The following is a 12,775-nucleotide window of genomic DNA, read 5'->3' on the forward strand; positions in this document are numbered from 1 at the left end:
CATTCTACTGAGAAGATAGTTGATATGAGCTCAATTTTCTTAAAGTTGTCAATACAAATTCGAGGCCTCTGGGGACCATGGTGTCTTCTGCCATGTGGCTGATACTGATAGGCCCTACTCTTCTTCTTTTATTCTACCCATCTCCAGATGTCTCAGCTGTGTTGGTTTCCCCAGCAATCTGGGTAGATGAAGCCAAAGTGGGTCCTTCATGCGATGCCCAAAAGGCTGGGGAAGCTGGGCATTCACCCTGCTCTTCTTCTCCCTGTTTGAGAAGCTCATGCATGGGCTGGGGAGTTATCACTGGTTGCTGAACTGTGATGGCCTAGGGGATGAGATAATGCAGCAAAATAAAACTGTTCTTCCTACCATTTTTGTGCAGTTATTTCTTGATTTTTTTGCTCCATTGTGTTGTGACAGTATCTTACCTACACTTCTGAGCTCTCCTAGAGCTATTTTTATTCTTGGATAGCTAATTGTGTGTGTGTGTGTGTGTGTGTGTGTGTGTGTGTGTGTGAAGGCTAGGATCTTCTACTCTGCCATCTTCCTGATGTCGCTCCTCACATGTATTATCTTAATTAATCCTTAAAACTCTATTCTGTTCATGAGGAAGCTGAAGCTCAGGGAAATTGCTGGCCCTAAGTAAGTGGCAGAGTTAGTCTTAGTCTCAGGTCTCTGGAACTCAGAGTTCCAGCTCTTAATTGCAATGCTTTATGTCATCTTAAATTTTATTTTAAAGCTAACTAACCAAATACATAAATAAAAGCATACAAATGAAGAAATAAAAACTTGTTTTAGCATTACCCATTTCTTGCTTCCTTTAATGAGGAGGGAGCTGGAAAGCTTTATACTACCCTTTCTCAGGCTGCTCTGGTCTACATGATTTAAGATCTATTTTAAGAGAAGTAGGCCGGGTGTGGTGGCTAACGCCTGCAATCCCAGCACTTTGGGAGGCTGAGGGGGACAGATAACCTGAGGTCAGGAGTTGAAGATCAGCCTGGCCAACATGGTGAAGCTCCATCTCTACTAAAAATGCAAAATTAGCTGGGTGTGGCAGCATGCCTGTAATCCCAACTACTCAGGAGGCTGAGGCAGAAGAATCACTTCAACCTGGGAGGTGGAGGTTGTGGTGAACCAAGACTGTGCCATTGCACTCCAGCCTGGGCAAAAAGAGCAAAACTCCAACTCAAAAAAAAAAGAAAAAAAGAAAAAGAAAAAAAATCATAAAACGAGATCACCAGGAGCAATATCAATGACCTATTAGTTAACCTGAACTTCTGACAACTACATCCCATCTCCTAATGTGGAGAAATACAAAGCATTGTTTAATATTTCCATTGTCTTGTTTTAATGATAACAATATTGAAATGCAGAACTGAGTTTTGTTTCTCCTTTCTTCCTCCATGTTCAGCCAGACAAATTTCACTGTTTGAATATTTGAAACTCTATTTGAAATCTGTAGCTTCATCATATAAAGAAAATTATTTACTGGAATCATAATAACAGGAATTACTATTCTCTGTTTGCTTTCTGCCTCCCCTTCCACTCCATTTCCTACATATCAGCCAGTGACCTGCAAAGGTGAATTAGGTTGTGTTCCTCCTCAGCATTATACTCTCCAACCTGCCATTGCCCTAAACGAAAAGATCAGCTGTAACCTGCAGGGCCCTGGGTGTCCTGTCTCCTACCATCAATCCTAACTTCACCTTGCACCACCTTCTCCTTGGATTACTACCCTCCAGCCACAGTGTTCTTGGAACTCCCATGGCCAAGAATGCTCTTCCTTGAATTCAAGTGGCTAATGCTTTCCATGCTATAGTTCTTTTATTTCACCTTCACCGAAAGACTTCCATAATTACCTATCTAGAGAAGATCACTCTTTTTCACTATCACCAGCTGATTATTCTTTATGTCAGTTTTTCATTAGTTTTCATTCTAGTGTGTATCACAAGACACAATGGATATTTGTCTATTTACTTTTGTCAGTACCACTCAACTAGAATGTAAGCTTGAGGAGAAACTCTCTCTTTTGCTCCCGGATATAGTGCTGGTTCCTAGAACAGAACTTGGCACACAAAAGGCACTAAATAAATATGTAGAATGCATGAATAGATGATATTATTTTAATAACATTCTTTAGATATATTTTAAAAACCTATTGGATTTTGCTAAAATATTATTCCATTTGGAATTTATTGAATGTAGAATGTCAAAGACACTGTAACCAACTGAGGGGTTCTTTCTGCCCACTGCACAAATAAAGGCCATGGCATTGCAGTAAAGAAACTCTTTAATTGACACAAGGCTGGCCATGCTACGTGGAGATGGAGTTATTACTCAAATCAATCTCATCAAAGGGTCATAGGTTAGGGGTTTTTCAAAGGTAGTTTAGAGGAAGGGGTGGAGATGGTTAGGCCATGGGTGAGTGCTTGCTGTTGATTGGTTGGGTCAGAGAGGAAATCATAGGGAGTTGAAGCTGTCCTCTTGCACTGAGTTGCTTCTGGGTGGGGCCACAGAAGCCATGGTAAGTGGGATCAGGTGGTAGAGCAATGGGTGTCCGACATGCAAAAATCCAGAAAAGTTATCTCAAAAGGTCAATCTACAACAGTGATGTTCTCTGCAGCAGTAATTAAAGAAACTGCATATCTTTTGACCAGTCTACACCTTAGCAAGATGAAGGCTCTTCTCCTCCCCTTAGCCTGCTGATGTCTCATTAACTTTTTAAAGGTGGTTGAGTTTTGGGGAAGGCCCAAACTGCAAGATATTTAAATAAACTATAATCTCTATATCTTCCAAAGTTAACTCAGCCCAAGCCTAGGAATAAAGCAGCTTGAAAGCTAAAGGCGAGAGGGAGGGTTGGCTGGATCAGATCTCCCCCACTGCCATAATTTTCTCACTGACATAATTTTTGCAAAGGTGGTTTCAATATCCATAGGAACTTTAAAAGTAGTAGCTTACTATGATTAGTCACCAGTATCACAGACTGTAGAAAAGTGTTGGTCTAGTCATTGAACAAAATAATATACTCTTATACTGTAATGAGTTAAAAATTGTAGAATGGGATGTGGTGCCTCATAAGTTTCTGTTTGTTTGTTGGCAAAGAAACCACTTCTGAGAGATTGAAGATTTGCACTAAGATTTATGCATGCCATTTACTGTATCTGCAGGAAAATTTAAATTTAAAATATATGCTCAAGTCAAAGCATATTAAATTTATGAAATAAATTATTATAATTTATATTTTCCATGTGATTAAATGCTTACATTTCTGAATTTCTTTTCTTTATTCTTGTGGAAAGAACAATAAATTCTTATTTTATTTTATTTTAAGTTCTGGGATACATGTGCAGAATTTGCAGGTTTATTACATAGGTATACATGTGCCATGATGGTTTGCTGCACCTATCAACCCGTCATCTAGGTTTTAAGCCCCACATGCATTAGGTATTTGTCCTAATGCTCTCCCTCCCCTTGCCCCCCACCCCCTGTGTTGTTCCCCTCCCTGAAATTTTTACAGGATAAGAAGTAATGAACAACTGTTTCTAGTTTACCACTGCCAAAGAGAGATCTTCCTTAATTTATTTAAATAAGGCAACGTTAAAAAAAATCAACATAAACTTCAGTTTTTGTTGCTGAAATGCAACATTTCAGCAACGTGAAAGTGTGAAGAAATGGGTGTTCCTAAATCAGAACAAATGGACTAATTTTCAAAAAGTTCAGTTTGGGGATTATGCCACCTTTTAATTACGCTAAGGGGAAAGTATGTGCAACATCAGACACACTGGGCTGCCATTTATTCCTCTCGCCGCCTTGTCCCAGTTGAGGCAGTGTTGTTGGTTGCAATCTGAGTACTGAACCCTAGTCAACAATACCCATTACTCATTCTTTCAATCAAATATCAACGTGGGAAGTTTGTGACTTAGGCCAAAGATAAAAAGATCTGAACAGCTGTTCCTCTCAGGCTCAGTTCTGATCCTTGTGAGTAAAAAAGAATACCTTAGAAAAGTAACTGTGAGTCCTAATACGACGGTTGCCAAACAAAAAATCTAGCCCCGTTTATTTTGGAAGAGACGTGTGCATCAATCTGGCTGTAAGCAATGTATTTATACGCGTGCTTCTGCCCAAGAGGGACAGCATGGTTCACCCCTCTCATTTGAATGGTGATTTCTCTGTGTGAATTGTTTGTCTTCTCTACCCTGGCACCTTCTGAAAAGAAGAATGTCTTTAACATCAATAATAAATGATTACTTCTGTGTGTGAAACTAAAAGACAAAAATCTGGTCAGGATAGCCTCCCTTGAGGATTCAAATTCTGACCTTACAGAAGGATCAACTGTCCTGAGGGTTAATGTCAATAGAACCTAAGAATTTAATGAAGGATTAGCAGTGGGGAGGCGGCAGGATAGATCTTCAAGCAGGAGCAAGACAACTCATGTCTCTGTATCATATTATTCCCCATACGACCACCATTTCCCCACTGGTTCTTGTCTGTCCACGTTAAGTATCAAGTCTAGATTGAAATTTTTTTGGCTCCTAAATTGTGGATATGCTTTCCAATTTTTCCATCTTGTTGACATTTATAAATATTAACTAATGATAATTAGGTGCTCTAGTTTAAAGAATTACACATGGAGTCTCTTCATTGCCCCGAGAAAGGTTCTCTGGCTGCTCCAAGCATTGCAATTCACTTTTACATGTCATGCAAGTGCTTTTCATTCAGTTATATTCCTTTTTCAATAGGATATACTGAGAAATTAAAACTACAAAGACTAGCTCTTGCTTCTAGTAAGTAATAGTGTGTTTCAAGGTTAAACTATACTGGGTCCTACAAAGGAATTTATTTAGTATTGAAACTAAATTTCTCAGTCTTTTGAATTCATCTGATACTTCTGATGTACAAAGAAAAACACATCTTACTATAGCTAAGAAACTATAGATATACAGATAAGAAGCTATAATTCCAAAGATCTCAATTCTGTTTACATACTGAATTGGCTCCAGAAAAAGCATTTATTCTAGCATGTAACACAACACATTTGTTTTAGACATCAATATTTATACTGATCTCTTTCAACCCTTTTAGTATCGCAGAATTTCAAATCATTAGGTATTCATTTTGCATTGTGCTTTTCAAGGTCATAGAAAGAGAATTCTCTATCTTTTTCTAAGATATAGTTAAAAACATTCCTGTTTCATTAAAAACGTTCCTGTGCTAAAACAAAGTAAATGGTTTATGTACCAGAGCACATAGAAGCAATTAGCTTCATATAGCTACTCACGCTCAAATTGGAAATTCCCTTTCTCAATTTTACGTTCCACATAAATGAGTATGTGTTATAACCATCTCAAAGACTATGTAGCTTATCATATTATATTCCATAATTGCATTTTTCTTTACATTGATACTTGTTAACTAGTATCAGTGGGTGTCTCTGGCTTGAAAAATGGATGTCTCTGGCTTGAAAAAATTTACTTAGGGATTTCATACCAGTTTAAAATTATTTAAATACCAAATACCAAACCATATGCCAATATATATTTGTAGGATTTCAGTTGACTGTAACTTATAAGAGTAATTCATATTATATCACAGTAATTATTTTTATAAAAACATCACAAGTCAAGAAGATGGATTAGGTTAAGCAAAGCAAAGTAACAAACATTATAGAGCCATATCTAAAGAAAAAATACATATTTTTTTTACAATGACAAGGTGCCTCCTCATCATTTAGAGGCAAAATCAAAAGTGTCCAAATAACTTTCTAAAGCCAACAGATAAAAACTAATCATATCTTAATCTTAGTGCTAAGACAGTGTTGGTGGGATTTTTAAAATGCAGTGTGTTATGGTTTAATTGACAGCATTTTTTTTTTGTAGATGAGTATAAAATAAGTTCATCTTAGGATCAGTGGAGAAAGTAGAAATACTGAGTAGCATTTTCTTTTTGTTCCCATTGTAATGTAGGGCATGGGGTGGTTAATTTATTTTCATATAAATGTCAGAGGCATTTGAACCAGAGCAACTCCATCTTGAATAAGGGCTCGGTAAAATAAGGCTGAGACTTACTGGGCTGCATTCCCAGACGGTTAGGGATTCTGAGTCACAGGATGAGATAGGAGGTTGGCACAAGATACAGGTCATAAAGACCTTGCTGATAAAACAGGTTGCAGTAAAGAAGCTGGCTAAACCCCACCAAAACGAAGATGGCAACAACAGTGATCTCTGGTGGTTCTCACTGCTACACTCCCACCAATGCCATGACAGTTTACAAATGCCATGGCAACATCAGGAAGTTACCCTATATGATTTAAAAAAGGGAGGCGTGAAGAATCAACCCCTTATTTGGCATATAATCAAGAAATAACCATAAAAATGGGCAACCAGCAGCCCTCAGGGCTGCTCTGTCTATGGAGTAGCCATTCTTTTATTCCTTTGCTTTCTTAATAAACTTGCTTTCACTTTACTCTATGGACTCACCCTGAATTCTCTCTTGCATGAGATTCAAGCACCCTCTCTTGGGGTCAGGAACTGTTTCCAGTAACATAAAGAACATACTTTGTCCATGATTATGAAGCTTGTTTACTCTCCAGAATACTTTACAGATATACATCCATGGCAACATGCATATATTGCTAGACAGATAGGTAGATATATAGATACAGAGAATTGATTTTAAAATTAACCTCTGAAAACCATAAGTAATGAATTGTGGAAAGAGTTAATTGCTGCTAATTAATTGGAATCTTGATTTTTTTAAATGTGAGATTCAAATTTATCTAACAGTATTTTATCTGTTCATTTTGTTTCATTGTGCTCTTCATCATACCTTTAACCAATGCCATGTTTCTTAAAAATACTTATGACAGACCAATCATATACTCTGGTCCTGCTTTAAGTAGCATTTTTATAGCAGACATGTTTACCCTTAAAATACTGAAAATTGCATGCCTCATTATATCAGTATTTAAAAAATTTTAAGAATATATTATTTAAATTTTATTACTTATTTGGAGTAAATGAGATAAAATAGCTTGTGGGGCATTATACTAATTGAAAGATTTCTATTAGTCTTCATTACTTAATTTTAGAAAAATAAAGAAATAACTAACATTAAAGGGCTATAAAATTCAAGCAATCAGTGCAGATATTTTTCTGCACTGCTATTTGGAAATTTGATGAAAGGCAATCTCTAACGTCTCTTAATGTCTTTAAGATGTTATGATCTTCAGTTCACCAGGTTTTGCCTTGCAAAATGGCACTTGCAATTTTTTAAATGATGCTTTATTTTTTAAATGACGTAATTTTAAAAAATCGTGCTTCCTGCATGAAAACTTCCCAGATCTTAAGTATTTATTTAATTAAACTTATAAAATGAGAATAATACATGCAAAATGTTAGTTTTCAAGTGCTTGACATGTATTTCTTCATTTAGTGTTAAAAACCAAGTGAAGTATCCAGGGCAATTATTATTCTGAGAAGTTAGCCAACCAGCCTAGGGTAACAATACTTTAAAGGAAGCTCCAGATGTAAAATTGAACTTTTTTTGTAGTTTATTTGTTTGTTTTGTTTTGTTTTCCTAGCTGCTATAGACATGAGGTAGATGCTTGATTTTTTCCAAGGAAGGAAAATAATTTATATTACGGTGAAAATAGAACCCTCCCACCTCCACCCTCCAAATATGAGTCAATGCAACTCCAACAGTGGCTTGGCCTTGAATTAGTATGGCTGCAGGGAGCCAAGGAAAGCAGGTTGAAGACAATAACTTTTCATGTTGAGTTGTTTGAGAACCTTATACATTCTGGATATTAGTTCTTTGGCAGATGCATAGTGTGTAAACATTTTCTCCCATTCTGTAGGTTGTCTCTTTATTGATTATTTATTTTGCTGTCTAGAAGCTTTTTAGTTTAATTAAGTCTCATTTGTTTATTTTTGTTTTTGTTGCATTTGCTTTTGAGGTCTTAATCATAAATTCTTTACGTAGGCCAATGTCCTGAAGAGTTTTACTAGGCTTTCTTCTAGGATTTTTATAGTTTCAGGTCTTAGATATAAGTCTTTTAATTCATCTCGAGTTAATTTTTGTATATAGTGAGAGATAGGGTCTAGAAAAACAAATAACCCCATTAAAAAGTGAGCAAAGAACATGAGCAGACATTTGTCAGAAGAAAATACACAAGTGGCCAACAAACACAAGAAAAACGCAACATCACCAATCATTAGAGAAATGCAAATTAAAACAACAATAAGATACCGTCTCACACACATGGACACAGGGAGGCGAACATCACACACTGGGGCCTACCAGGGAGTGGGGAGAAAGTGGAGGGAGAGCATTAGGACAAATACTTGATGCATGTGGGGCTTAAAACCTAGATGAAGGGTTGATAGGTGCAACAAACCACCATGGCACATGTATACTTATGTAACAAACCTGCACATTCAGCACATGTATCCCAGAACTTAAAGTAAAATAAAAAAGAAAAGAAAAAAGAAAGATACTGTTTCACACCAGTAAGAATGGCTATCACTAAAAAGTCAAAAAACAGATGTTAGTGAGGTTATGGAGAAAAGGGAATGCTTATACACTGCTGGTGGGAATGTAAATTAGTACAACCTCTATGGAAAATAATATAGACATTTCTCAAAGAAATAAAACCAGAATTACGATTGGACCCAGCAATACCTGCCACTAGGTATCTACCCAAAGGAAAAAAAAAATGTTACATCAAAAAGACACCTGCATTTGTATGTTTATTGCAGCACTATTTACATTAGCAAAGACGTGGAATGAACCCAGGTGTTCATCAATGGTGGATTTGATGAAGAAAACGTGGCATATATATATCACGGAATACTGTGCAGTCATAAAAAAAAAGAAATCATATCTTTCAGAGCAACATGGATGGAGCTGAAGGCCATTATCCTGAATGAAATAACCCAGAAACAAAATCAAATGCCACATGTTCTCACTTATAAGTGGGAACTAAACAATGGGTACACATGGACATACAGAGGAAAACAATAGGTAATGGGGACTCCAAAAGAGGGGAGGGTGAGAGGGGCAGTGAGGGTTGAAAAGTTACCTACTGGGCACTATGTTCATTAGTCAGGTGATGCATATACTAGAAGCCCAAACTTCACCACTACGTAATATATTCATGTAGCAAATCTGCATATGTACCCACTGAATCTATGAGAAGTTTTATAAAGTATGCATATTTTAAAAAGACAATAACTTTTTTCACATAAAATATTACATAAATACTCACTACCTACACAGTCTGAATAACTATAGGTATAAACAGCTGAAATTTGTCAGGTATAAATGAAGGAAAGGACAACTGAGCCAAAGGGAATAATGTGTGAGAAGGCACAGAGGCGGGAAAGAATAAAGTGTGCTATGGGAAGAGTAAAGGATGCTCTGTAGCTGAAGCAGAAGGTGGGCAAATTTGGGAAGAAAGGCTGGGATAAGGCTGAAAAGTAAGTAGGCACCGAGGCTTCTGAAAACTCCTGAATGCCATTTAGAGGAGTTTGAATTTCACCTTAAAAAACTTGTTATTCAAATAATATGTCAAAGGAGTTTTAAGCTTTGTCGGAATTATATGATTTTTATTGTTTAGATTCTATTAGTTTCCATTAATTATGTTAGATGAATGCATTTTGTGCATAACTGGTCACATATGGTTGAAAAGGTTTACTTTGACTCCCACTATGGGAAGAGTAAATGGTGATTAGATTACACAGCTCAAACAGCTGAAGAAAAGGGTGAATGCTGTGAGCATTAATTTTTATCCTACATAAGCAGGATGTGTCCTTCATTTAAGTGATGTCTGCAGGTTAGCACCTATGCTTTATGACATGCAAAGAGGCACTGTTTATGGCCAACAAGGAACAAGGATTATTTAGGGTAGCTGGTTGCCCAGAGAGAAATTAGATGAAATGAATAAGGCCAGAGAAGGGCACTAACTTTGCTGAGTGCTAACTTCATTGGCCTAGTCAGTTGCCTTACATATAGCATCTCGTTTAAGCCTCACGAGAACCCTGCAAGGGGGGTTATTTTCTCCATTTCAAAGATGAGGTGAATGGGGTCAAAGAAAAATTTAAGCAAATGGCCACCTAAATGCTTCTGAAATGTCAAAGCAAAATTTCACCTGTTATTTCTATAAGCAAATGCCATCAAGTTATTGAAAACTGAAGTTGAGCATTTAAATTTGATCCTAAAAAAATCATAAAGTTTAAGGAACTTTCCTCCATTTAAGGTGTTATTAATATATTTTAAGAGAAGAATTTGTTTTTGAAAGAAAATAGTTTGCATTTGCTGACCCTGATGATGAAATCTTGCTGCACAGATTTGGGAGGACTTCGTCTTTGGATTCATGCTCCTACTCTCAAATAAAGTGACTACCTTAGGTTGATACATTCCAGGGAGGGAGACCAGTTGGGACAAGGCCTAGGCTGCTCTCCTACAAATTTGCCATGAACAGGAGCCAAACTCTAAGACCTGATTCAAGTGGCCCAGCTGTCACTGGTGACACACTCAGGGGCTGGGCCTATCATGTTCTTATACAACCTAGTGAGTCAAGCTTTGGAAAATAACATTGTCAGGGAAGAACGTAAAAGTTACATTATTTGTGACAGTTCAGTAGATTAATCAACAATTTTAATTTTTATCAGCCATTTTCACCTTTCTATGCCAGAACTTGTTTCATAAAAATGAAAATGTAATAGAAAGTGCATGCCTCTATAATATGTAAAATATCTAGGCAAAATTTTGCAATTACTTTGTGGGCAATTTCTCACTCTTTTTTTTTTTTTTTTTTTGTAGTGCAATAGAAATGCCAAATGGTAACTTGTAGAAGATTTGAGTTAGTTATATTACCTGATACCTTGCAAAACAAAATGCCAAGTCATGAGTAAAATATAGTTAAATTTTATATCCTTAGCTCTTCAAGTTTATAATGTTAACGTACAATCCTAGATGAAACTTCTATATTGGACACTATTTCCCCACCAATAACTTTTGTTTATTTAAATATTTTCCTCTCTCTTACTCTCTCTTTCTCTCTTTCTCTATATGTGTACAGTCATTTCCTACAAATTGCCCAATATATCAACTTTTCAGTAATGGCACTGTGAGAAATGCTGCCAATATGCTAGGAGATAATTTGTAGTTAATCATTGCTCACTCTTTTTTTTTTCTGGCATTATTTATCTCAGTGTATACCTAACAGTTTTCTTTTTCAGGTGAACTCCAGAAATCTCAAAGTCTTGAACACACAGTTTAGAATTATCTGTTTATTGACAGAGAATTTTGAAATGTATAGGCAAACATGCTGGAATAAATCAACTAAGATGCAGATAGTAAATTTGCCGATGAGGTTTTTGAAAAATGTATTTGCAGAAAAATTTAGATAAAGTTTCTGAAAAACTTACTATGGCCTAAAATTACATGACTTAATATAAATTGTCTTGAAATTCCAATTTCTATTAACTTCTTATGGGAAAGTATAATGCAATACAAATCGTAATTTTAAAGGCTGCACATCTAAAGCTATTAAATATTTCACTTTGCAAAGTTTACCTAGCATTTATTTGAAATTATGTGCTATTGTGCGCATTTAAAATTAATCATAAATAGCACTTTTTTTAAAAAAGGTATCCTTCTATGCATAAATAATAACAACATGATGAATTTCTAGATCGTTCTTGGTATAAATGTTATTGTCTTCTCTGTATGATTACTATATCAAATAACATGAAATTTATTTGCCAATCTTCTAACCACTCATACCAGAAAAAGAATATTGTAATGATTGAGTGGATTGGTTTACTCATACAAATAATTATACATTTTATAAGAACTACAAAACATCTCCATTAACCACTGCAGTCTTTCTGATCAAACAGTGACAGATAGGAGCTGAGAGTTTAAGGGCATTTGTTTACTATGTTTGCTTGGATTTTCCGAACTGCCTTAGTTCCTGATTCCACACTGCTATTGTGTGGATCAAATAATCCCTTGTCACAAAAATACCCTGGGGAATGACTCCCCTGGCGTCCAGGTTATGAGTGTGGTCAGTCATTCCACATGCCTTAGGGATGAGCTATCTGTGCCATGACGAGCGATTTCCTTTTCGAGTTTTGTAATCCCCAAATACTAAATACTATTATCAATAAAAGTTAATTAAGGAAATGTATATCGAAATATTGTTCAAGATAGCACTGAAATTAGGTTTATCTTTCCTCATTGTCTTAAAAAATTATTACTGAATTAAAACAGGAGAAATTTTACAATATACTCTTAAAATTGTAAATATCTACTACTGACCTCTTTGATATGAACCATAACCAGACATTTAAAAATATACTTTTGTCATGTAGACACACTAGATATGCCACTTTTATTCTCCTTTGCATGGTTCAATGTATAAGAAAACAACTTAGTAGGGGGAGAAAAAAATTAAAAGCCATTCTGTAAATCTTTCCCTCTTTCTTTTCTTGCAATCTCTCATTGTATCTTGGAGAGCAAGACCACAGGTTTTAAGAAATATGACTCATTTTATGTTAGTGGCCTTCCAATACTTCAGAATATTCTTGATTTTTCATGAACAGAGGTACAGCTCAGGGAGTGTGGCTAAATCAGTCCCAGTCTCCAGCTCCGCGTGAACCTGGGATCCAGACATCTCCTGGATATCTGGCGCTCTCTGAGATCCAGCCCTCGGTTTCCTGCAAGCCAAAAGGATCCGCTAGGTTGGGAAATGCCGCCTGGTGCGATTCCAGAA

Source organism: Homo sapiens, chromosome 8 (genome assembly GCF_000001405.40).
Source record: "Homo sapiens chromosome 8, GRCh38.p14 Primary Assembly".
NCBI lineage: Eukaryota > Metazoa > Chordata > Mammalia > Primates > Hominidae > Homo > Homo sapiens.